The sequence below is a fragment of the Homo sapiens genome, chromosome 12, assembly GCF_000001405.40.
Source record: "Homo sapiens chromosome 12, GRCh38.p14 Primary Assembly".
Taxonomy (NCBI): Eukaryota; Metazoa; Chordata; class Mammalia; order Primates; family Hominidae; genus Homo; species Homo sapiens.
The window spans coordinates 10,588,033-10,615,452 of NC_000012.12; the positions used below are offsets into that span (position 1 = coordinate 10,588,033).

The 27,420-nt window shown below is 35.7% G+C and overlaps 1 protein-coding gene and 1 pseudogene across 7 annotated transcripts, besides 4 other annotated features; both read right to left on the minus strand.

Moving 5' to 3' along the window:
• Positions 1-445: 445 nt before the first annotated feature.
• KLRA1P (killer cell lectin like receptor A1, pseudogene) lies at positions 446-11,803 on the minus strand (annotated as a pseudogene). Its single transcript, NR_028045.1, has 7 exons — positions 11,490-11,803; positions 10,011-10,177; positions 8,860-8,949; positions 7,659-7,895; positions 5,749-5,973; positions 4,248-4,354; positions 446-1,513 (listed from the first exon to the last, which is right to left on the minus strand). The product of NR_028045.1 is annotated as a killer cell lectin like receptor A1, pseudogene (transcript).
• Positions 11,492-25,577, minus strand: MAGOHB (mago homolog B, exon junction complex subunit). 6 transcript variants are annotated; one of them, NR_135121.2, is made up of 6 exons: positions 25,509-25,577; positions 22,590-22,648; positions 21,799-21,909; positions 21,066-21,351; positions 19,822-19,904; positions 16,161-18,342 (listed from the first exon to the last, which is right to left on the minus strand). NR_135121.2 is itself a non-coding variant. In XM_047429058.1 (5 exons), the coding sequence occupies exons 1-5, from the start codon at positions 25,498-25,500 to the stop codon at positions 11,574-11,576; spliced, it is 354 nt and encodes a 117-aa protein (XP_047285014.1). In that variant the 5' UTR covers positions 25,501-25,577; the 3' UTR covers positions 11,492-11,573. The 6 variants fall into 6 exon arrangements, 4 of the variants coding, with proteins under 4 accessions (XP_047285014.1, NP_001287668.1, NP_001306914.1 ...); NR_135120.2 differs by having other exon boundaries at positions 25,407-25,577; XM_047429058.1 differs by lacking the exons at positions 16,161-18,342; positions 21,066-21,351 and adding an exon at positions 11,492-11,580 and having other exon boundaries at positions 25,407-25,577.
• Positions 24,634-25,513: an enhancer, noted in NCBI's record as "NANOG-H3K27ac-H3K4me1 hESC enhancer chr12:10765265-10766144 (GRCh37/hg19 assembly coordinates)". NCBI's record gives its function as "activates a minimal SCP1, AML or CMV promoter by ChIP-STARR-seq in primed H9 embryonic stem cells {active_cell/tissue: H9 hESC(primed)}" and the evidence as "EXISTENCE:reporter gene assay evidence [ECO:0000049][PMID:30033119]".
• Positions 24,634-26,391: a biological region, named in NCBI's record as "NANOG-H3K27ac-H3K4me1 hESC enhancers GRCh37_chr12:10765265-10766144 and GRCh37_chr12:10766145-10767022".
• Positions 25,298-25,697: an enhancer, noted in NCBI's record as "active region_5962". NCBI's record gives its function as "activates an Ori minimal core promoter by ATAC-STARR-seq in GM12878 lymphoblastoid cells {active_cell/tissue: GM12878}" and the evidence as "EXISTENCE:reporter gene assay evidence [ECO:0000049][PMID:35858748]".
• Positions 25,514-26,391: an enhancer, noted in NCBI's record as "NANOG-H3K27ac-H3K4me1 hESC enhancer chr12:10766145-10767022 (GRCh37/hg19 assembly coordinates)". NCBI's record gives its function as "activates a minimal SCP1, AML or CMV promoter by ChIP-STARR-seq in naive H9 embryonic stem cells {active_cell/tissue: H9 hESC(naive)}" and the evidence as "EXISTENCE:reporter gene assay evidence [ECO:0000049][PMID:30033119]".

A 27,420-nucleotide genomic window follows, 5' to 3' on the forward strand; every position in this document is an offset into this window, starting at 1 on the left:
AGAAATTAAAACCTGTCCACACAGATACTTGCACACAAATGTTCATGGCACCTTTATTCACAATAGCCAAAAACTGGAAACACATCAAATGTCCACAGGTGAATGAAGAAATAAATTGTGGTATATCTGTACAATAGAATACTACCTAGTAGGAAAAAGAACGAAATGCTGATACACAAAACCATAGATATAATTCAAAAACATGCTGCGTAAAAATAAGCCAGATACAGAAGAGTACATGATGCATTAAATTCTAGAGTAGGGTAAACTAATTTGCAGATAGAAAGCACATCCCTGGTTGCCTGGGGCAAAGTGGGTGGCGAAGGGCAGAAAGGAACTTTTAGAGATGATGAAAATATTCTATATCTTGATTTCATACTGTGTAAGATATATATGTGTGGGTGTGTGTGTATATATATATGTTAAAACCCATATTCCTCATGACTTAAAGTGAGTGCATTTTATTGCATGAAAAGTATAACTCAATAAAGTTAATTTTTAAAATGTCAAGGTCAAGAAAAAGCCTAAAGAACTGTTTCAGATTAAAGAAGACTAAAGAGACATTACAATCAAATGCATTGAATTATCCTGAACATGGATTTTTAAGAAATACACATAAATGGCATTATTGGGACAATTGACAAAATTTGAACATGGATTACAGATTAGATCATAGTACTGTACTAATGCTAAATTTCCTGAGTTTGATAATTGCACTGTGATTATATAAAACAAAGCCCTTGATCTTGGAAAATATTTAGACAAAGGGACATGAAGTCCTCAATTTATTATTAAGTGGAAGATAGAAAGAGAGAAATATAAAGCAGAGCAAAATATAAACAACTAGTAAGTATGAGTAAAGGTTATATAGAAGTTCCTTGTACTATGCTTGCAACTTTCAGTAAGTTTGAAGTTATATTTTGTAGCAAAACAAATGTTTTAAAAGATGAGGTAACTTCTAGATGGGAAGAAAAAAATAACTACATTCTAGTTCACAACTGCTTTCAAAACCAGAAGATGCTGGAATGATTTATCCTATTGATAAGAAAAAAGACCCAGGATATAATATCAGAGTTCTCTAACTGGTTGTATAGGTAGTTCTGAGAATTAGAAAGAATGAATAATTCCTCAGGGACATTAAAGGAAGGAACAACCACTCTCAAAAGAGAAAATCTCCTCTTCTCCAGGAAGAAAGATGGCATCTGATCTTTAAAGTCATAGTCCAAAATAATTTTCTTTTTCTTCCTGTTCATCTTTATCTTTTGAAGAATTAACTAAGTCCCACAGTTAAAAGCAATGATTTATAATCAGAAATTATTATGGGAAACAAAAAAAGAAAACATTCCATTTTCACCTTTTCTTCTTGGCGCACACCGAATCAGAGAAAATAGAGTCTATTCTCTTCCCACAGATACAATTGTACGTTTGAATGCAATCAATAGTTGCCATTCTTGTTGAGGTCAAAAATGCACATTCTCCTCTCCCAGAAGAAAAACGCATTATTGTAGAATTACTGTAGAACAGAAAACATATGTAGTCAACTGTTTAATTCCAAAGCTTACAACTGCATAAACCATGATTTTAAAAAATTCTGCTGCCTAAATGTCTAGAATATGGAAATGCTTATCATAACTTCATCACTAAAATATTTTCTTTTGCTCTTAGTCCATTAAATAGAATCATGACCTCTTAATCACACCCACAATCTCCCATTTTATTCCACACCGACAATTTTTGGTCAGAAGGCAAAAGTACCTTGCAATATTGCAATGAAATTATGATATATTGCTTTCTTGTGCTAATTTTTTTTCAATAAAAGTGAGAGATTAAAAAAGAAAGATGGTGGCCAGGTACAGTGGCTCACACCTGTAGCCCCAGTACTTTGGAAGGCTGAAGAGGGCTGATCACTGGAGCCCAGGAGTTCAAGACTAGCCTGGGCAACATAGTGAGATCCTATCTCTACCAAAAAATACAAAAATTACCAGATTATCAGGGTGTGGTGGCACACGCCTGTAGTCCCAGCTACTCAGGAGACTGAGGCAGGAGGATCACTTGAGCCCGGGAGGTTGGGGCTACAGTGAGCTGAGATCATGCCACTGCACTCCAACCTGGTGACAAAGTGAAATCCTGCCTCTAAAACAATTTAAAAAAGAGAGAGAGAGAGGAATTGAATATCTGTAACATAGATAACCAGGGCTCATGTATATATATTGTAAGAAGAAAAGGGAAGAATTGGAATATAGTCAGAGATGAGATTGTTCGATCGTGTTTTCTCTCCGGGAAGAATTGGAATATAGTCAGAGATGAGATTGTTCGATCGTGTTTTCTCTCCTTTCCTCCCCCACCCTATAGCTAAGAGTTATTAGCTAATGACAATTCTTTGAAAAATATCTAAAGCATGACTTCTATTTTAGCAAAATGGTTAAGTGCCAGAACTACCTTCCTATTAAAAACAATTTAAAATACTGAATAAAAAATATGTTAAGCCTTCTTGACTAACTTCATAAACTGTTAAGAAGCAGATTCATACTCAGGCTGAATATTAAGTAAAGGTGGGACTGCAGAAGGGCAAGTGAAGCACTGAAGATCGTTTTTCCCTTAATGGATGTAGTAGGCTGAAATGAATTCCACTCAAGATGGAGATTCTAAGTAGAAGATAAGCTACGTAGGACTGAGAACCCAAAGGGATATACATTCAGTATAAACCACCTAGAATTGTCTTGAACCTTGGATCTAAGCAGAAAAGCCCCCACTTAAGAACTCAAAATCAAAAAGCATCCGTATATGTTTGCATTTGCTGTATTACTTAAGAAAGTTCAAATCTGCTACAGGAAAATAAAGAAACAGGTAAGGAAGATAAATGAAACCAAGTAGTTTGTGAGGCATAGGTAGAACTCACAAGATGTGTTAGGTGTGAACAGGTAAAATTAGTAACATATGAGATGTTAGATATAGATACGTAAGTAAAGTATGTGAGCACCGAACATAGACAAAAAAAGAAGGGACCAAATAGACACTAAACATACACAAAATAAACATGAGGCTCATACAAACTCAACATTCTTGAGGTCTTAAATTCACCACCCATTGGTGATACCCATTCTGGCCTCTGCCCAAGAAACACAAATTAAATCCACAGCTGCTCATCAGGGTAACTGGAAACTTACAGCTGTGGCCAGGCTTACACATTCCTGTAAGAGAGAATCTTCCCTGTAGACAAACATGTGTGTGCTGGCCACAAAAACTTTGTGTCTGTTGGGACCCCTTACTCACACGACAAGATGTCCCCATATCATCATCAGGAGAGGATTATGCAGCAGAGAGAGTCAGGTCGTATGAAGACTGCATAACCCAAGATTCACGGTTATGCACAACCCAAGATTCAGGGTGATCCCTTCACCCTGCACCTTATCCCAAGTGCATCAACTTATCCCATCTCTTTCCCTTTGAACTGTGCTATGGGTTTTACATTGGTTTAGCCAACTGTGATTTGATCATCTTAATTTGGCCTGTGAGCCTTTCTGTTCTCTGACCTCTGGAATAGTTTGCCTGGGAGTGTGCTTGAAGGATATGATTACATCAAGGTAATTCCCTCTGTGTGACATCTTTTGCAGGTTTGCAGCCCAGAACTACAATACTTGCAGAACCCACACTTAAAATTATAATAATTAGGATTTTTTAAAAGTCAATGAATAGTTTAACCATAACTAAATGTAAACCCAAGAGTTTACTAATAATGTACTTCAAAATAGAAGGTCTATAGTGAAGGTGTGTGTGTGTGTGTGTGTGTGTGTGTGTATGTATATATAAAATACATATGTTTTATGTGCTATGTATGTATAAACTAATTACATAAAGTAACTCAAAATAAATTTTTTGCATACTCAGAATACTCATTTGTGGTTGTGGGAGGGATCATTATGGCTGACTTAGGATGGTCCAATCACTTCATACCACCCACCTTCCTTTATGATTTTATTTCATTTTATGTACCTCATAATACATATTTCTGAGCACGTATTTAGCGTGATACTTTTAAAATTATTATTAACTCTTTGTGGCTCATCTCTTCCTTTTCTACCTATACTTCCTAAAACACTCTTACCCATTGTTCTAATTGTTACTAAAGACTCCTGCTTAAAAATGAGTTAAACTGTGTGAAATGAGAAAAGATTCTCTTTAGACACAATCATTTCACCCCCGCCCCCCCACCAATGTTACAGTTTGAATGCTTTCCAGACACTTACATTCCAGGAGATGTGCCATTATCAATCCATTTCCACTTACTTTCCCTTTCATCATATGATAATCCAATCCAGTAATTATTTTCATAAATCTGAGATTGAATGAAGGCCTATAATAGAAACAAAACATATCAGGTGACTAAATTCCCATCTGTTCGATGAGTGAGAACAAGGACAGGTCAAGGGGCCGACTGTTTCTATGGCCAGTACTCTGCTACTCTCCACATCATCCTTCACCCCTTTTCCCTAGAAAAACCTCTCTTCCCTAGATCCCTGCCTTTCCATTTCCCAAAGTAATTTTCCCCTCATATTAATATAGTATTCATTTATGTTAAAAAATGGCTGTCAGTATCACTGACTATTTAAAACATGGAAAAGTTTAATATCCAAATATCTACCAATAGGAAAGTTGTTAAATATTTTATAATGCTTTATGAAACTATCCAAAATCATGCTCCAGAAGAATATTTAGGATGTAGAAAATTGATCAACACTTAATCTTAAGTGAAAAAAGGAATCCTCAAAACAAATCTATTAAAATAAAAAGGTGTGTGTATGATAGGGGCGCAGTAAAATCTTAAGCCCCATAAGAGGAAGCCTTGCTATAGTTCCATAGTTGGAATGGGTGAAGTATTTGGAAGTATTTACTATGTCTAAAATGTAATATATCAAAGTGACATATTACATAATGTCTGATTAAGTGACTAAATATATTTTAAAATACAGGTTTAAATGTAACTTTTACTGTATCATATGAAATTATTTCATAACTTGATATCATGAATTCTTTTATGCTATGATTTTTTAAACATTCATTAGATTTGCATATACATTTTGTGTTGTTTTCCTAAACAATAAATAAAAGTTTCAGGCTAATCTTTGCAAACATACCTCTATAAAAACATATTTTGAGTATTTGGATAACTTTCATTAGTAACAGTTTTTAAAAATTTTAAACATAATTGTTTTAAAATTCAATATTGTTATATTCAATATTGTTATCACTATTATTCCGTATTGTTACACTATATCACTATATTTTCTCTTTTTACAATTCTGTTTTAAAGATACACATCTTGAGATAATATATAAGAATGTTAAAAAAAAGAAAAAGATCTCAAAAAAAAAAGAATGTTAAGTGGATGTTACCTATGAATGCAATGAAAATCACTATTGAGGCTAATTTGTAAAGCTGTTATCACTTTTACGTTCCTCATTATTATCTCCATTTTGAAGATAGGCTCGGAGAGGTTAAATAAATACTAGAGGTCATCCATCTCCCTTTCTAAGGAGTCTGCAGTATAACCACTGACAGGGAGATGATTTGCAAAGACCCAAACAGCATCCTTAATAATAATGGTCATCATAATAGATAACGTATTGAATATTTAGTAAGTAGTAGAATTATATGACCATTAGCAGGCATTGTTTCCTGGGAGCCTCTTAACTACATCATTTTTGCTCACACGACAGACACACACAAAGAATAGTTGAAGTCTCTCACTCTGGGCTCCAGCCTGTCTTCAATATCTTAGGTCCAACATTGAGAAACAGAGTCCAAGAGAATAAAAGTGAATGTAAAATACGAGTTCATCTTTGTCATCTATCTTCAAAAGGGATGATCTACAATGTTGACAAGTCTGTTTACATCCCTTCCAGTCTTTCTTCTGCATGGTAAAATAATAACAGTTTACTCCACAACAGGACCCGTGGTCTTCAGAGAATTTGCCTACAATATATAAGGTGAATCATCAAACTTCTTGTCATCTGGTATTCTGTTAACCAGAGGAATATGTTTATCAGCCCATCATAACTAAATAAAATCCCAATAGCAATCAATAATTATAATACAAGGTTCATCAAGATTCTGGAATACAAGAGATACCTTCACTCCAGTGTCCAATGCAGCATTATTCACAATAGCCAAGCTATGGAAACAACCTAAATGTCCACTGATGGACGAATGGCTAAAGAAAATGTGTTATATACACAGAACGGAATATTATTCAGCTTCCAAAAGAAGTAAATCCTGCTATATATGACAACATGGATGAACCTTGAGGACATAATGCTCAGTGAAATAAGCCAGTCACAGAAGAACAAATACTTTATTATTCCAATTATAGGAGGGATCTAAAATAGTTAAACTCACAGAAGCATAGAATGGTGGTTGCCCAGGATTGGAGGGAAGTTCAATGGTATAAAGTTTCAGTCATGCAAGATAACTAGGTTCTAGAGATCTGCTGTACAGCGTAGTGCCAATAGTTAATGATACTGTATTGTACACTTAAAAACCTATTAAGAGGGTAGATCTCGTGTTGTTACCGCAAATACATAAATAAATGAAAGGACATGAGGAAACTTTTGGAGATGATGGATATATCTATTACTCTGATCGTGGTGATGGTTTCATTTCTGTCCAAATTCGTCAAATTGAAAACATTAAAAATATGCATTTTTGTATATCAATAATACCTCAATAAAATTGTCTAAAAACAATAAAATTGAATTAAGTTTTTAAAAAAGATTCTAGAATGTTTTCTAAATAAAAGAAAAATTTTAAAACTTTTTCTTTTCCTCCTATATTTTATACTATATTAAACTTTTAAAATACTACTCAGCCTTTACAAATAGAGATGGTAAATTTCTACTAATTATCATACCTAAATGAGATTAAATATACAAAAATTCTTTGTAAACTCTAAATCCTAAACAAGTATTTAGTAGTTGTTGATTAACCGGGTCAATTAATTCCATCATTATGCAAGATAATAGAGTTTACTGTATGAGATTTAATATTTTTATATCTTAAGTGCTTTCAACGGTATCATCGCACAGAGTCGCACAAACATTAACACTGTGGCAAATCTTGCAGATGTGCTACAGGGAGTACATACTGGTCACAAATAGACCAAATATGTGAAACCAAGGCAGAATGGAAACACACACGTGTGCACGACACACACAATTATCTTTATAACAGCATCCAAATAAAAGCCCTTGTGCCCATTTTAGCACAAATATATTTTTACTGAAAACCTCCATATTCTATGTCAGCAAAAAGTGCAAGTCTTTAATTTGCTCACAGGACCAAAATGATCAGAATTTTCAGGGGAGTTTACATACGAATTCATCTTTTGGGAGCATTAATAATGTAAGATGTGCCAATGAATTTTGGGAACTGTAGGCTTTTACTAATCTAAACATGGATCCTGGGGTCCCAATCCCACATTTGAAACAAGCAAAACCTCCAAGATACCCACACTACATCTAAGAGGCACAGATTAAAAGTTGCCCAGTAGACCTCAGAGGTCGCTAATACTATCATAAGCCTGTTTATTAGGCTTCAAGGATTATGGAGGGGAAGAAATAATGCAAAATCATGCAATCTTTCATTCAAGATTTCCTTTGTACCTGTATTTTGCAAAACTTTAAAAACGATCTCATTTTCTCTATGACATCTGTTCTTTTGTATAAGGCGTGAATCCAGTTCCTTTTTCTGCTGAAAGCTATTTTTGAGAACGTCAAATTTTAAAGTCTTATTTGTCAAAATCTGCTCTTTTAAGTAGTTGTCATTTTGCATGATGTACTTTTCACTACAGTTTCTTAGAATTTCCTGCCGTTGATGTTTTTCTTGAATACACTGAAAGACTAAAATTAATGGCATAGATATAATACAAATAAGTACTCATAATAATTAAATATTGAAATTTAAGACAAAAGAAAAAATTTCACTCTGACAACCATTAATCATTACTTTAATTAGTCATTACTTTGATTAGTAATTTGACATTTAGAAAGTAACACCTCAACGAACTGGCCATAAAAAGGGAAACATAAATTTCTCACCATTAGCAACTTAAGTGTAGGATAAATAACATATCTGAATAAAATTATGAAGGTGACACCTTACTTCTCAGTTTAGTTTATTTTTAATAACTCATCATTTACAAATAAGCACTAAAGTAAAAGTCAGTTTGCCAACATTTAACCACATATCTTCTGCATATGAAAATCTGAACTAAGAAAGAAACATGAAGTGATAGCACAATTATTATTGGGGCAGATAGACTATCCGCAGCAGAAAAGAGAGTAAGATCCAGATACGTAATTTTATCTGAATATAAAATATCAGTGATTTTTTTCAAAAGATATGAAGGAATTCAAACAAAAGGTAAAGCTTGAATTTAATATTATATAACTGCATGTGTAGATTCTTTCTTTTACTAAACCATTTCGTCATTACATACTTTGAGAAATGTCAAGAGAAAGCCATAATTTCTTTTGAACAGTTGTCTCTCAAAGAATGTTTATCTCAGATTCACAATAATCAAACCCAAATGGCAGAATACATGTATTACTAAATCCTCTATGAGAAGGAATATTACCATGTATTATACACAGTGAGACAGCTCATCACAGATTCAGAGTCAAGGTTAAGTAAATTAAAAATGACACTGTCATATGCCCAGAAAAAAATTACCAACAAAGGCCAGAGCCACCTGGGACATTCTCTGATTACAGACGGGGAACAATGGACGGAGCATGGTTAATATCTGCACAATCAGTGGTTACTGCTGCTACTCGGACGAGAAAGCTGTATTTTATTACTCACTATTTGTCACCAACACTGTGACTATCATCAGAAGAAGTAAACAGAGGATCCCAAGAGTCACTGCAATGAGGTGCCAGGGCACTGAAAATTCTTTAAATACAAAAATAAGGAAAATAATCACCAGGGGAAGAGCTTGGCTCACTACTAATCTTGACCTGAGAAACCATTTGAAACAAAGAGACAATATCCTCTAAAACTCTGACAAAAATATATCACACAAGTATATTTAAATTTGTAATCTGGAAATTACATGCATGCATTGTAGAAATCCCGCACACAGGAATAGTTCTATAGGATTTAAAAAGTCCATCCCACATAAAAGCACCAATAGCAGTAGACACAAAACATGTAGCAAAATCTAAGCTAACGTGTGTGTTCCTTCCTGTGATCACAACTAATCATGAAGAGAAAGGAAAAAGCACTCAATAATGCTAAGAAATTAGTAGTCAATAGTGGATATTCTGAAGCTGCAAATGTGGATGGGTCCATCTTTGAGGGAGTTTCTAGAAATCAACTTTTCTTTCTTTTTCATCAATTCTATTTTTCTCTAAACAATGCTATATTTATCCTTTAGCTTTTGAGATCCTCAGTGTCTGAAAGTTGTATCTCTGATTATCTCTATATTAAAGCAGCAAAAGTTATTCTCAATGCATAGTTTAACAATGACCACATTTGAAGGGAGAGAGAGAGAGCATAGAAAAATTAGAATGCCCCTTTTGATTCAAACATTGTTACTGCATCATTGCCATTAAGATTTGGTAAATACTTAAGGCACATAAAATATCTGCTATCTGCATAAAAATGTTGTTTTTAACATTGATTTTTCATTTCTTACACTTCCTCTCATACTTTTATTTCTCTAGGAAATGTCATGTTTTCTTCAGATCTAGTCTGTCCTTTGTTATCAAGGCCTCACAAATTCTTCTTGACCACATTTAAATAAAAACATTCTACTAGTTTCTCAAATTTAAAAGAATTCACTCATTTCTCCATTCTCACAACTTAAAACAAAAATACTTCTACTACTCTGCCCCATTATAGTTTCTTATCACCAGCCAAGAACAAGAAGTACAGATAGGAATCTTTTTTCAAATGTCAAAAGTTTGACAATCCATAAGAAACAGGTGAATGTAAATGCTTAAAACGCATACCTTTGTCATCAGTTTTCCCAGGCCTTTGAGTATCATCAGGCCTTAATCTATTCTGTGACTCTGAAGGAGACTGCAAAAATCTCAGGGTTGAATAAATCTCTCCCTGATCATTCATCTTTAGAGTAAGAAGGTAAGTTTTGCATTCAAATCCTGAAATAGGATGGTTTCTGTTGAAAGAAAAATTAAAATGTCAGCCAATAAGAACACACCAGGATTTGATGCTGAGAGATGTATGTGTGCCTGTCTGTGTGTCTATTGGCGTGTGTTTATTAACTAAGTGCCTAAAGCATTTAGAGTGAGCCTCATTTATAGAAGAAATGAAAAATCTTTCAATACTTTTGTTAAAGTCATTTATACTTCTAGTGATCACAGCCATGATAATGAGAAAATACAGAAATGATGAGAAAAAAATCTACCAATAGATTATTGTTCTATTCACCCAGCCAATTTTGCTCAAAATATTCAACATACATATACAAATGTTAGGTAAAATTGATACCACTGCAAATCACTGAAACACTTTATGAGTTCAACAAACAAAAAATCTAATAAATTCTGGAAAAATAAAAATATCTTGGCTTTTAAAAACTTACATGTATTCTAATATACATGTAAATATAACAAAGTTCTTGCATTCTTTCCAACTATACTTGACTCTATCAGAGTGCTTTCCAAAATGTATCGCATATACCTTCTACAAAAGAATTATTTGAGGGTTAATATTGCAAATTGGTTAACATGCCAGACTCAGTGCCTTTTGCAAGATGTACTAAATAAAAATCACTTCGGTTGGAGCCCAGATAAATGTATTTTAAATCTCAAATGATTCCATGTACGTTAAAATTTTAGAAATAATCTTCCGGTATATTGCCAGAGAAGCCTATGTGAAAATAACAGTTGTCAACAGGCAGTCATTAATGTCCATAAAAGATTCTATTGATTAATGAATGTCAATATAGAAAAGAATAATTAAATAGTAAATACCTAAAATTTACTTCTTATGTTAGTCAGTATAAAAAGATGATATCCAAGAAATGAGAAATATGAAAAAACAAATTGCACATGTAACCATATTCTTTTCTAATTTTTTTAATTTACAAAATTTTCTAACCTAGTCACATTTTCCCTAATTTCCTAAGAAAAAGAAGTATTTTCTATTATAGAGTCATTCAAGATGGATAAAATATGTAAATCATTAGACTTAAGTAAAAAGTAATTAACCCCTCAAATCTCTATTCTTTATTTTGATAACACAAAGCAAAAATCACAGCATATTGAGAAAGAGAAAATAACTTTTTGTTAATACTGGACTACAATTTCCTTCAAAGTAGTGCAGCATTAATACAATCAGTAGCGAATGCTTTCCTATCATTTCTGTTATAATGCTAAGTCATTTGTAGTTAAATGCCGTATTTCTAGAATTAGTAAGACTAAGGATAATCTGGTAGAAAGATCTGAGAAAATAAAAGTGGATATTACCTGTATCTGTGCTATGCAGTGGTGCAGGTGGAGAAAACTGATTTCAAAATGAGGGAGAAGCTGGCCTTTCGGGTCCTGGATCCCTTAGGGGCTATAACATGAAAGGCAGAAATAAATTCTCTTCGAATGATACTGTAACTCAAAATTTTCTGCCCCACCTCTTGACCAAAGTGATAAGAGGAAATTGTATCATGAAAGCTGGTACTGACGGGAAAGGAAAGATAGTCAAAAGCTGCATATTCCTCTATCTCAACTAACCAACCACTTAGTACTCTTTGCAAAATAATGTTCAAAATCAATATTTGAGGGCTGAAAAGATAAAATTTTGTACACATCTTTGGAGAAAATAAAACTAATATCATTAACAAAAAACTAACGTACTTTAGAGAAACTGCTGGTAAAAGACATTACTGAAATGTCTATGTATAAAAATATAGACATATAAAAGAAGTGTAATGATTGAACTACTTAGCTCTTAGTTTAAATAACAGTCTCTCTGTTGGAAATGTTCTCCTATATGTCATTATTTTTTAAAAGTTCCTTTTTCTATCTGTTTATTTCAAGTAAATGTATTTTTTAAATTACTTTAAAAGATCCGTAATTCCTCTATAAAATTGTGGCATATATTCTTCCAGTTTTTTTTCTCTGTATGTTGTGCTTACTATCAAGGTTGGTATCATTCCTTACACAGTATTTTTTATTTATTATTTTCTAATAAATAATATGTATTCCATTATTTCAAAGAAATTCATCTGAAATGTTATTTTAAAAATATTACTCACAGGGATAAACCATCATTTATTTAGGCAATCCCCTACTATTGGATACTTAAATTGTTTTCAATTTTTTCTATTGTAAAATATATTTGGTCTGTACTTTTTTTTTTTAGGGAAACTTTTTAAGCATAAAATTGTATGTCAAAGGGTATATGTATTTAAAGAACTCTAATATATATCACCAAATGCCCTCCAGAAGAGATGTTCCCTTTGATGTTCCATCAGTTGTGTGTGAAAATGTGCACATTTGATTTTTTAAGAAAAAGATACTGGCAAATTATTTCTCTACTTGAGTTTTCCCACGAAATCTCACTTCATAAAATCTATCCCTAAAACCTTCCAGCAAGGCCTCACATTTTCACCTATATCGAAGACTTGAAAAAATTCATTTTTGTCACTCCACCATGAGGCAGACCCTGCCAGAATGTACTCAGATCTCTCATTGACTTCCACTTTTATTGGATTCAGTCTTTTTCAATCTTCTGATTACAGTTCTAGGAAACCAACTTAAATTGTTCAAATCAGGTGATAGTGGTTAATAAGGAGTGTGGGATAGAGAGGCACAGAACAGCAGGCGAAATTGCTGATACAGGGACATGTAGTCCCTGAAGTCGGCCACATCATCATGTGCAGGCCATCAGATGAAACATCTCCCAGAGGCTAATTTTACTCAATAATGTAGGCAAAGTTTCATGCATGGAGTTTGGACGCTTCAGGAATACTTGCTGCTGGGCATTTTCTTCTTTCCCTCCATCCTGGATTGGCTTCGTCAATCCCAAATCAGAGTAAAGACGGTCCATATCCCTTTATCTCAATGCCAAAATAATAAATAAAGGAAGTTAGTTCTGTGAGAGATGATAGGAAGTGGGTGACAGGGTCAGGGGCTGGGGTGTAGTAATAGCGGATGTTGAAAAGGTGACAGAGATACTGTCACGTATTGGAGTACCTCTTGTGCATATAACCATATTAAAACCTCCCAACATTGACAAGTATTTTCGTCCCCATTTTACAAATGAGGAAACTAAAGTGAAGAAGTTCATTGACTTGCATAAGGAAACATTATTGCTAATTCTTCATTCCTGTTTAAAATCTGGCCTGACTGAAGACAGAGCACAATGGACCGTGAATTCAGAAGGACCCGGGCTTCCAACAAGGCTCTTGCCACAAAGCATGAATCCTGGAACCAGGCAAATCTGGCTTGAAATGCTAGCCCCTAGCTCCCATGTGTGACTTCAGGCAAGTTACTTCATTTCTCTAAGTCTTGTATTCACCATAGTAAAATAGTGATATTTTTTGCCATCCAAGGTTGCTATGAGGGTTAAATGAGGTAAGATCCATCTCAAAGTGTCTAACTACAACCTGGCATATATATGGTGGGCTCTCATAAAATGTTAAAAATTGTTACTTGAAGTCCAAGATTCAAATTGTTCTTATCTATAAAAATTTGAACAAGTCAACCAAATCCTCAAGCCTCACTTTTCTCATAGGTTCAATAAAAGTATCACACGCTTCATAGGCTAGGACTAATTAAATTTAGCACTACAGACAGGATTTCTTACACTTCAAAATAAGTAACTGTTTTCTTGTTTGTTTTTCTTCCCCTAAGGTTCTAATAGGGGAAACACCAGGACTGCAGTGCAGAAATCCTGACATGTTATACTGAGCCAGGTTCTCTATCCTGCCATGAGGCTTGGCGTGCTAGTGCCACCATCACTCTAGAGAAACCATTCCGTGGCTGCATATCTTACTGCCCCATTCAGATAGATACTGGTTATGTTGAGGCATGTTTCTGTTTTGATTTACATCCACATAGCTGGGGAGAAGGTGAATAGTTCTCAGGATGGAGACTAGACAAGTGCAGAGCACAATTTTTTATACTTTTTACATATTGTCTCCTCTATCATAATATAAAGTCCACAAGTCTGTCTTATTCATTATTGAAACTGCAGCACATGTAAGAGGCATGATGCCTACAAGTGCACCTCATGAACCAAGTGGATCAAGTTAAAAGGAACTGACTATAAAATCTAGATTTCTTCATAGTTTTGAAAAGAGGCAGAATGAAACTGACGACGGGAAAGCCAAATTTTCTAGCTGCTCCCCTGTTTTCTCTTTATTACCAAGCTCTGAATTGCTGGAAAAGGCAAATTTCTCCTTTAAAGGAAAACACAATCAGCACCAGAAGATAACAGTAACTTCAAATGAGATTGAAACTCCCTACCTGGCCTTTTGATTAAAGAGGCACAAAGTTGGAAGTATTAAACTTTATCACATCCAGTTAATAAAACAGAAGAGAAATATACAGAGTTTTGAATGTTCTGGTACTTTGCCTTCCAAATTCACTTTTGTGCAAAACATGCACATAACACACAAATATGAATATATGAAGTATTAATTTGCTCATCTTCTGGCTCCTTTCCTGCAAAAGCCCTTTTTATTTAGGAAACCACATATTTTACTCATTCCTTTCTGACCATACCGTTAGCTAGAAGCTTAGAACAGCTTCTAGTCACACCTTCAAACCTTCGGGTCACACTGTCAAACCTCAGTGGTTTATCATTTCACAGCAGCACACTGCTCTTCCTGCCCCAGACTAAAATGAAGGATGTCTGGAAAAACCCCTAGCATGCAGGGAAGATGGTCTGAATCACTTCACTGGGAGGACTAACCTCACCCAGACAAGTTGCCATCTCCTTTTTTATTTGTTCTAATGCCTAACTTTTATCCCACTGCATGACACTGAACTTCCTGGCTCTTATAGTAAAGAAAAAGATAAAACGAGGCCGAAGCAGGCACAAGGTCAGGAGATAGAGACCATTCTGGCTAACACGGTGAAACTCCATCTCTACTAAAAAAAATACAAAAAATTAGCCAGGCGTGGTGGCGGGCGCCTGTAGTCCCAGCTACTCCGGAGGCTGAGGCAGGGAAATGGCATGAACCCCGGAGGCGGAGCTTGCAGTGAGCCGAGATCGCGCCGCTGCACTCCAGCCTGGGTGACAGAGGGAGACTCCGTCTCAAAAAAAAAAAAAAAAAAAAAAATCTCTAGCTTGAGATTTTCTGTTTCCCTAATCACCCTGTTTGTCTTTCTTGTCTTTACAGTAAAATACATTCAAATGCTCTAAGTTTAACATACATTGTCCCAACTGAACCTCTAGTAATTGATCAAACAGCAACCATCCTTCCTCTTATTTCTGAGAAACCAAACAAGAGGGCCACCTCAGGAACTAAGTTAACTATGATGACATAATGGCAAAAAAAAAAAAGGATTCCCGATGGCAATTTAAGAGAAAATAGTTAAGCTGATCTGTAATTAAGACTTCTGATTCTTAAATTAGTATTCTCTCCACCACATCACACAGTTCAAATTAGGACAAGGTAGATGCCAGAGATTTTGAGTGGTAGTTATCCAACTTTACTGATCATCATACGGAAGTCAGCCAAGGCAGATTCTGAACTCACCCTCAAATCCTTCATTTACCTTTGTTGTTTATTAAATTTTTAAAATTTTCTATTCGACTTCATTATCCATTCATGCTAGGAATCCAGTTATTAATTAAAGGGGTCAGTGGTTAAACTTACAGCACAGTCCATGCTCATAGGTTCACACATTTCAAATCAAAACGAAGTAGTCTAACAATAGAATATATAAATCATCTCAGTTACATTAATATTTACATTAAAAATATCCATACAAATAGACTCAGCCTGATACCAATGAAATACCAAAGATAAATAATCTAAAGGCAAATAATCTAAGGACAGAGCAAGACAGCAACCAATTCAACAAACTTAAAAAACACCTACTATATGGAAAAGACTGTGCTAGGGTTCTGCACTATCTCATGAATGGGGAAGAGGTGGGATGAGGTGCAGACAGTACTTGGAAAAAGTCTGATTATTTCAAGTGGTCTCTTTATTAAGGAAGGAGGTAAAAGGAACATAACCTGAGCGCAATAAAAATCTAGTTTCATATAAAACTAGTATTATACAAAATTCAGTTTCTAATGATCACTGTCCATCAGCAACTTACAATCAAATAAAAGACAGATCAAAGTATAAGAAAATTGTAGACGGTAATATTTTCCTAATGACCTAGTCTCCCATCTTGGTTTAAATATGAGAAATTCTAGTAGATAGTGGGGATAGAGCTAAATAAACGAAAACGTAAGGAAGTTAGAGAACGGGGACAAAGACTTAAAGATTTTTCAACGTAAGCACTATTTCTCCTCAACCTTGTTCAGTTTTTAATGGATCATCTTATTCAACAGGAGCCACAACCTGTTTTGAGGAACAACCAACAACTGTGGGCCTACTGGAAGTTCAAAAGACGATTGTTCCTGTTTCTGAGGTTGACATCTAAATGCAAGAAAATTACAATACGATTTCATACTGCACAATCATCAAGGTCTACAACTGGAACAGAAACATTTTACATACAAAAGACCTGAAGATGATAGCGTACTTGCATAATGAAGTGGAAATCATTTGACTTTCCATGGCAAACCTGAAGACAATGGGCATGCATTTTGAGGAGTGAAAAGGACCATCTAGTGCTCCATGGCAAACAGGTTACCAAGCCATGCTCTAGAGCTATACTGTCCAAACGGTAGCCGCTAGACACGTGGCTACCTAAATTTAATCAAAATTAAATAGCACTACAAAAAAAGTAGTTTATTGGCACCAATTACACCAGTTAAGTGAAAAACCAAGATTTATTATAATAGAGATATTACAGTAAAAAAGATGTTAAGTATAGAATCTAGGTAGGGGTAGGCATATAGGTGTTCACTTTATAGTTCTCAAGAGTTTTTAATGTTTTATCCTTTTCACGTTAGAAAAAAATTGTTTAAATAGCACCATAAATTCAGTTATACAAGGCACACCTCAAGTAATCAGTAGGCCTCATTTGGCCAGTTGCTACCCTATTGGACTGCACATAGAACGTTTCCATTATTGCAAAAAAGTTATTGGACTGCCCGACTCTAGAGCCTACCTGCTCAGGAGTCCTGGCAAGCCTTCAGAAACTAATTATTCCACCCAAAATTCAGTGCTAACTTGTTCCTAGGGCAAGTGGATTATAACTACTGGAACAGTGCAACTTTTTAAGAGTGGGGCTTCAGATGGAAGAATAAAAGGAAACAAGGAACATGGTTACTAAAAGTAATGAAAGAGGAAATCTATCAGAAAGAGGTTGAAAGGAACTGGGAAACTGAAGTGAGACTCGTGGTCAATAGGAGTTAAAAATATTTATGTACATTCATACATACATATATGTTTGTCTAAATGTTTAACAATTTATAAAGCTGAAAACTCATTTAGTTCTCCCCCCTCCCCTACACACCAAATACATTGTGAAATAAGGAATAAAGACATAATCAAAGATATGCCTAACATGGGGTAGACTGTACTCTTGTAACACTTTAGGACCTCACTGCTTATAACTGAAAATATTTAAATGTGAATAATCCCTGAGGGGTTTGTCATAACTGTAAAAAAAAACTAGACCTTGTATAAGCCCCCCAAAATTAAATCCAATCATGTATGAAGGAAATAAGGGACAATCTACACTTGCCTTTCATGGATGGGAATCTGGCTACATAGTTCCACCTAAAGTATCTTCTGTCACAGGATATATCTACCAGAACAATTTCTTATTATCTCTAAAGTGAATTAGAGACATAGCCTCCTGGAAAAAACAAAAAACTACTCTGCAACCAGGATTTGGTATGTTTTATTAGAGCAAATTTTTAACAAAAGGTGGCTTTCATTTACAGAATTTAATGTGTGTGGGGACTGTCCAACCCATATGGACTCAAGTAAGGATAACCATTAAGCTTGCTAATGTATTTTCTTATTTTCAGTTTACATACAAATTTTTTTTGTTTGCTTCACATTCATAAAAACCCCAATACTGTAAATGACAAATAACCCCTCCCATCCCTTAATTAAATATACAAACAGCCTGAAAACATACAATTTAAATTGGTTTAATCTTGAAGTGTAATCCAATAAGACTGAAAACTAAACATTTCAAGTCTTGTACCAAATAGTAAAATACTCGAAGGCCTTCAGGATCCCTAAAATTTAAAAAGGTAAAAGTTACTTTTTCTTCCTAGGATAAAACAATTCTTTAAATGCCTAAAACAAAACAAATCAAAATCTCATAACAATTAAGTTAACAAAATTTAGGAGAAAGGAAGGATTTTGCTGACAACTAAAATGAACATACAATTAATATCTTTTCTATACGAAAAAATAGTTTCTTCATCAGTATTCATTTTAGTATTTAAAGAGTTCATATCCTTATGATTGTAATAACCACATCATAAAAATGTCTAATAAAGCAGAAAAAAATAATACTGTAATGCTACCATTTCATAGAATAACTATAAACATTTTGATGTTTCTCTATTTTTTAATAACTAAAATTATTCCTTGTGCCCTTTTTTACATTACTTTCCCCACAGCATTAAAAAAAAAAAATTCCCTAGTAATTTTTAATTAATTTAATAATTCTCTCCTTGTTAGACACTGGGGTTAATTTCCTATTATAAATAATACTTCAATGAGCATCTTCATGCATAATAAAGCTTTTCCAATATTTAGGAATAGTTCCATAGAAGAGATGCTCAGAAATGAAATTACTAGGCCAAAGGTGAATGAAAAATGTCAACAGTTTTTGATGCATATTACCAAACTGCTTTCCAAAAACCATTACCAATTTATAATCCCAGTAGGGTATCAATGCCACACCCTTACCAAATGTAGGAAAAGAAATTTGATAGTTTAAAAGCATTTGGATGGTCTTTGTGAACACAGATTTTGCGTCCAATAGTTATCATGCATTCATTCCTTTCTCCTTTCCACTAACAAATATTTATTGAAAGCATCTATTATGTGCAGGGCACTATGCTAACTCTGTGGATACAGCAAGGTTCTCAAGGAGCTTACATTCAAACCAGTAAAGCAGACAAATAGGTTATTACAATTCAGGGTGACAGAAAAAAGTAAGAGCACTATGGGGACACTTTGAGGGGAATGGGCACAAATAAAAATAAGTGGCTAGGATCAGACCAAGAAAATGGGATGTGCTACAAAACCCTGGGGCAGAGGAGAGACAGATCTTGGGAAGACATCGATAGCTAAAGCATACTTAGGCCATAATGGATTTTTTCCATCTTTTTCCCAAGTATTGAGCCCAAGAAGGACAGTGAGATGATATAGGCCTAATGAGGCTGACATAATCCAATAAGGATTTCTTTCCTTTGGATTTGCTGATACTGTATCCACATTTTTATACAAAGTAGCTAATACAACTTGGGCATTATTATATACAGCTGTTGGATTAAAAGTTTTTGGACAATCAATGAAATACTCTGCTAACTTCTACTGAGAGACAAGATAATAAGCCTTTAATGACATAAAAATCAGGATTACATCTGCATAATAAACTGATAGGATGCCACTGAAATTATCTTGGCTAGCAAACTGACTATAGTTCTAAAATGAGCCTCTGTAATAATGAAAACTTCGCCAAAATGCTTTAACATACTTACTTTGACTGATTTACATCAATAAGAGAACCTATTTTTGATGTGGTAAAAGATATGTGCTCATCTCCAATTACAATTTCAAGCTCCTAAAAAATATAGCAGAAAAATGTAGTTAATATAAAAATCTATCCCAGAGGTATCTGTATTCTTGCTACAAGCAGATCCCAATTTTAGTTGCAAGTTTTCTAGCAGCCAACAGAGGGAGTGGGGGGCGAGGGGGAAAGAAACATGGTTTCTTAGATATAAACTATATCCTTAAAATAAAGACTGCTCACGCGCACTACCCCCAAGTTTAGGACCAACAAAGAATTGCTTTCCAGAGACATAAAGAAGACACTATGAAACAAAATGACAAAGAAATATTTCTTACAATGTCAGTAAAAACTAAAGACATCACTTTGAAGCACATGTTGTAAAAATGATTGGAGTATAAGACCATTTTTAATATGATAAATACACATTTTTTCTTTCTGGAAGATTCTACAAATAAAATGTGTAATATTAATAACCACCACCACTTTAGCACCTACTGTATGTCAGGCCCTAGTGGTAGGGACTTTGTACTCTCTGTAATCTTGAAAATAACCTTACTAACCTATTTTACAAATGTGTAATCCAAAACTCATAGAGCAGAAGAAAATACTTGTTGATATTTATAACCACTAATAATGATGGTACTTATATTTGATCCCAAGATGGTAAGACTTCAAAACTAATACTCCACAAAATAACTAAAATTAAGAACTAGTAAAAAAAAAAAAAAAAAACCAACCTAATGTAGATGTTCCTAGTGTGCTGTAATTACTGTATAGATTTTTCCCTATATTGTTTATCTGCAGGCCTAAAACCAATAATTAAAAAGCTATATCTGTAATGAATCTTCAAGTTAACAGACACTATTGAAGACAATCCTAGCTATTTATTTAATCAGAGGCCTAATTATGCAGTTTATGACACACACAGAATGGAGAATTAGCTAAGATGCTCTAACAGCCATAAAACCTTTGACTTGATACAAAAGGCAATTTCTGAAGCATGCCTACTCCTCCCCACTAACCAAAACCCATGAACACATCCTTAAGTGAATAGATAAAATACTAGGCTCTCCCTGAGTCTAAATGATATAAAAGGTTAGCTGCTGTGGTTTGCTTTTTAGTACATATGTGTATCTGCATAAAACAAACTGAGGCCTAAATTTACTTTTTAAAAGTGATACGATGCTTAAAATAAATACTGTTAACTATTACCTTTGCTTTTCTAAATAATGCTTCTTTAAGCAGAAGACTTAAGTTACTCCTACAGAGTGTCAGCATGTGTTAGATTTCTCCACATTTTCTTCTATTCAAAGAAGGTGATACAAAGTACAATCCTCAGGGATATACAAAAGTGAAATTAAATGTTTCTTCCTTCCAGGGGTTGTTGAAGGAATTTCTCCAAGAGTTGAAAAGACCCAATTCAGAAACCAAACTTTCTTTTTACAGAGTGAAATTAGGCCTTCAGAGTTCTTCAGAAGCCTGAGAAACATCATTTATTCTGAAGGAATATGAGAGGGAAATGCAATCATCAGTTTTAACAAAGAAACCACCAATCAAGTTTCTCTCTGGGGTATAGGGATGCAAGTAAGAATTTTAGAAGTTATGATTTGGCAAAAATAAATTTTACATAGTCATATTCTTAATAAAAGTGATTAACACACAACAGAAATTATTCATAACACTGCATTGTGAAAACATCCTAACGTTGGCTGGGGTGACTACAGAGAAAGATGTCTAAATTTAGAGCTATGCACTGACTCCTTCACTACTAGGAGGTAGCACAGAAAAACAGAACTAAGAGATAAAATTAAAGAGAATTTACCAGGTGCCTATTAAATAGAAAGCCAAAGAATCAACTTAGACTCATTCCAAATAAATAACGGGAAACAAAATAGTATTATCAATTTTTAATATTTATACACTTAAAGAATCACTAAATACAAACCTGTCGGCCAACCCTATCAGGGGGAGGCCACAAAGCATCATCTTCTTTTGTAATTTCACTGTCATCAATAATTCTCTTCAGTTCTTCCATTACACTCTTGTGCACATAAGCCTAAAAATTAATCATAATAAAATGAGATAATGCCCACCTATGTCACCCCTCAACTCAGAAAGAAATGAGTTACAAACCCTGAATATCCAAATAGAGGAATATAGAAAAATTTAATTGATTCCAAAAGTAGAGGAGACAGAATCACTTATCCTTGTTACACTGCTTTTCTTCATCTCTTGCCCTTTCCTTTCACATACATTTTTTCCCTCTTCTCATCATTACCTGTCTTTCAAACACTGTATTCTGCCTTTGCAACACTGAGATCCAAATACCCACAAGTGGTTAACTTGTGTCATCACAAGATCTATAAGGTGAACTGTAATAAATGCAAGTATACTGAGGCAGGAGAATCGCTTGAGCCTGGGAGGCAGAGGTTGCAGTGAGCTGAGATCAAGCCACTGCACTCCAGCTTGGGTAACAGAGCGAGACTCTGTCCCTAAATCAATAAATCAATAAATGCAAGTGTAGTTCACGTCAAGGTTAGTTCTCTGAACTTTCTCATTCCTATGGATGCAAACACTGTATCTAATTTAAATGGAAACTCTTTCAATCTATAAATTGCCTTCTTCTTTACAATATAGCCTTAGATGTACTTTTTTAAATTCAACACAGACTTGAAGAAAATGGGCTAAATGCAAAAAAAAAAAAAAAAAAAAAAAAGACATTCACATAGAACTTACCTCTTTTCTGATCATGACATCATTTTTGTAATTGCTGTTGTTGGCATATCTAAGCTTTCCTGTGGGAAGTGGAAAAAAATCAATTTATAATAGCAAAAACTGCTAAAAAAATTAACATCATATACAATTTTGAAGGTAAAGACCATTTTATACTACTATTTTTATTAATATTTCCTCCCTCCTTGTGTAAGATCATTGCTAGACATGTAGACAATAAATGTTTGCTGGTTAAGTTTGCTGAAGTTGAAGCTAGCCAAATATTTAAACAGCCCATGCCTACAATATATATTGGGTCATTTTTAAGGCCTATTTTCTTAAGCTACATCATGAACTAGAAAGAGAATCTGCAAAAGGCACTAAGATTCCTTTAAAGTTTGTTATATGTCTGTATCGGTGCTAAGTGCCTCACCCAGAGCATTTAATCTAATCTGTAAAACAATCCCAAAAATCGGGTTTTATTCTCTCACCTATTCATAGGAGAGAAAACAAAGTTAAGTAACTTAACCAGGGTCACACAAGATTCAGATCTAGATCTACTTTCTTTCAATACTCAGGCTTTCCCCACTACACCAAAATGTTCTCTTTTAAAAATTTTTTTCCTTCAAATGTATGCATGCAATTATAATGCAGACATTTTAGAATTATGACTAGGAAGCATACAAACGATGCTTCTGGATCAAAGTTGATGAGTTTGTTAGCTAGTTTATATTTAATTTTAATCCATCATGATTGCTGTATTATCTGATGTATGCTTCCCCTTATGGCTAGTCAGTTGCCCAGACACAGCTATAATGTGCAACAGGTACTCTAAAATGATAGAAATGACAGTCTTTGATGGCTTGGCACCAGGCACAGTGGCTCATGCCTGTAATCCCAGCAATTTGGGAGGCTGAGATGGGTGGATCACCTGAGGTCAGCAGTTAGAGACCAGCCTGGCCAACATGGAGAAACCCCGTCTCTACTAAAAATACGAAAAAATAGCCAGGCATGGTGGCCCATGCCTGCAATCCCAGCTACTCGGGAGGATGAGGCAGGAGAATCGCTTCAATCCACGAGGCGGAGGTTGCAGTGAGCCGAGATCGCACCACTGCACTGCAGCCTGGACGACAGAGCAAGACTCTGTCTCAAAAAAAAAAAAAAAAAAAAAAAAAAAAGAAAAGAAACGCGTCTTCGGGAGGCTCAATATCACCAATGGAAGTATGTGTAACAGTGTAGTGGCAGATACATTGATTAGAACCACTGTTCTAGCATAAAACTTCCCTGATAATATTCAGGTACTTAATTCATGTGACCTGCTAAAAGTGATAGGGACAAGCTTGATGGTGTTCGCAGGCAGAGGAACTGAAAATAATACTACATAAAGAATAGATGAATTCAGGTAAATTTAGCTGAATTTATGGGGACGGTAAGGTTAAATACAGTGATTAAGGTTTCTAAATAATTGCAGGGCTGGCCCGGTGGCTCATGCTTGTAATCCCAGGACTGTGGGTGGCTGACGCTGGTGGATCCCTTGACCTCAGGGGTTTGAAGCCAGCCTGGGCAACATGGGGAAACCCATCTCTACAAAAAATAACATAACATAACATAACATAACATAACATAACATAACATAACATAACATAACATAATTAGCTGGGTGAGGTGGCGTGGGCCTGTATTCCCAGCACCTCGGCAGGCTGAGGTGAGGGATCACTTGCACTAGGGAGGGGGAGGTTGCAGTGAGCTGAGATCGTGCCACTGCACTCAGATCTGGGTGACAGAGTGAGACCTTGTTTCAAAATAATAATAATAATAATAATTGCAGGACTGTAGTTAACGTGAGTTCTGCCTGAAATGCTTGATACTCTTCTCCTTTCCTAATATACGTTCCTTCTCTAATTTTTTATTCTTGCTCTCACAGAACATTGTCCAAAGCCTGCTTATAGGACTTAATATGCATACTGCTTTATAGTTAAATGTCTGTGCCTCCCACCAAGACAAATCTGCTTTAGTTAAATTTGTCTTACTCATTACTGTACCTTAAAATTTTGTATTTGCTTGTTGTCCAGCACAAAACGTGCATTCAAAAAAACCCAAAAAATATATATCCAAATGAACTTTCTTGTTGCAGGTAGGCAAGATCAATGTAACATTCTCTAAGGATAGCGCTGTCAGAAAACACACTGTTGCACACTACTTGGGTAGCAGTTTCACCTCATCCTCTGCTCATACTGCTCTGGAAGTCTGTTTTTTTCTCTCAAAGGCCAAGTCTCTCATTTCGAGACTCATCTCAAGAGTGCCGTCCTCTAAGAAGATCTTCCTGACTCCCTCCTGTGGAACTTTACCTCTCCCCTCTTGCTTGGTACTCTTCATGCGTCCTATGGTGAACAATTACACGTAAACACCTAAAACATATTATTATTCTCATTTGTTAACACGTTGGGCTCCTCCCCTTCAAAGAAAACACACAGCCTAAATGAAAAAAAGGTACTGGTCACCACAAGATTTTATTCATCCACTGGACCACCCGCTGGTGGGGGTGTTTTCAAAAAAGTGCTAGCATTTTCAATCAGGGCGACGATCTAGAGTCCCTTCTGGTGCACTGTTACAGAATTCTGATTACTGTAGGTTCAACTTTTCAGTTTGTGACAGGATTAGCTTTAATTTATTGCAATTAATTCTCTTTCATTTATAAAACCAACTTATGCCTCCTCTATTCTTAAGCTCCTATTTCCTTCGAGGGAAGCAGTGGCCTCCGCCGCCTGTACCCTCCACACCACCCGGCCTCTCGGTCTCGCTCCCCTTTCCCAGCACCGCGTGCCGTGGGCCTCTTCTCACCGTCCGGCCGAAATTCGAACTCCAGAAACTCGTGCCCAAACTTGCCCTTGTGCCCTACGTAGTAGCGCAGGTAGAAATCGCTAGCCACAGCCATTTTTGTACCCGGGAAGCCCGCCGAAAACGCAGCCAACGTGTCCCCCGGCGCCTTGCAGTGACGTCATCGCGCGGAATAAGTGCGTCACCACAGGCGCTTCTCTTCCTCCTGCAGTGCAGCCCTAGACTAAAGCGTGAAAGCCGAGTATCGCGTGAGAGTCCGGAGGCGCTGAAGGGAGGGTCGCAGCGCCGTGACTTTCGCTTTACTAGGAATGGAGGCACATTGTTTTCAAAATAAAGATTACATTATACTAGCAAAGATTAGAAATGTGAGCATATGATAGTCTTTTTTATGGACTTAGAGCTAAAGGTTTGCAAGTCACTTTTACTTTTCTGGTCTCCCAATCCTTGCGGCGTTTGTGAGGTGGGTGTGGCTCTATGCCCCCTTTAACTGTGAGCTAAATAAAGATAAAGCTTAGAATCGAAATGGCAGACCGGGAATATAAACTATTTTTCTTACTTAATTTCTAACAGGGTGCTTTCCCTTTGGATAGCGATTGGTAGTTACCCGGGACCTCTAAGCCTATAATAATAGAGACAAAGTCAAAGGAATCCAACTCTTAAAACCCTCACACCCCCCACACCTGAAAAACCCTGACAGTCACCGTGCTTTTTTTAACAGCAGAACTTCTAAGGTTCTTAATTCATTCAATAAGGGTTAACTTTTAGTAGCCTGTGAAGTTTTGGCAATTTGACTTACGATACAATAATGGTTTAGCCCATTATTGTTTCTCGCCAGATAGAATTAAATTGGGGGAATGAAAGAATGCTCCAGTGTGGCGTAGTTTTTAAGGTAAGGGAAAGACTTTTACACAAAGTTTCCTTTTCAGATATTATTGATCACCCTTTTGTTATCAACACACAGAGTAATCCTATCTGTCGGTTGACAACCTTCAGTGATTTTTAGTAGAAAGTGGTGGAGAGAAGACCTGGGATTCAATCCCAACACTTAACAGCTAACTAACCTCGGGCAAGTGACTATCTCTAAGCCTGTTTGTTCATCAGCCTAATGCATATACAGCAATCTACATTGCCAAGCTCACAGAATTCTTGAGAGATCTAATGAGATAATATGTAAAATAAGCTTTAAATTTTATAAAACATTAGTTTTAACAAACATTTCCTATGTGACAGTTTGAAACTAGAAATAAGCCATTTGATCTGGTAGTCTAGAAAAGAAAGCAAACACGTAAGGCGAATACCAGCACAAGGGAGCAATTGCTATAATTAAGAATATATGTGCCATCCTGGCCAGCATGGTGAAACCCCGTCTCTATTAAAAATACAAAAAAATTAGCTGGGCGTGGTGGCGCGTGCCTGTAATACCAGATACGCGGGAGGCTGAGGCAGGAGAATTGCTTGAACCCTGGAGGCAGAGGTTTCAGTGAGCTGAGATCGTGCCACTGCATTCCAGCCTGGGCAACAAGAGCGAAACTCTGTCTCAAAAAAAAAAAAAAAAAAAAAAGAAAAAGAAAAGAAAGCCTATATGTGGCCGGGCGCAGTGGCTCATGCCTGTAATCCCAGCACTTTGGGAGGCCAAAGGGGGCAAATCACCCGAGGTCAGGAGTTCAAGACCAGCCTGGCCAACATGGCAAAACCTTGTCTTTACTAAAAATACAAAAATTAGCCAGGTTTGGTGGCACGTGCCTGTAATCCTAGCTACTCAGGAGGCTGAGGCAGGAGAATCGCTTGAACCCGAGAGGCGGAGATCGCGCAGTTGCACTCCAGCCTGGGTGACAAGAGCGAAACTTCGTCTAAAAAAAAAAAAGTGTGTAAAACATGCCGGTAGTACAGCAGAGGAAGCAAGAGCATTCTATTGCAGAGTAGGGAAATTTGAAAAAAGAGTATTGGAAAAGGCTTGTCAACGGAAGTGTTTGAATTGGACCTTGAGAAGTAAGTTCTGTGTATGTTCAGTGGGATG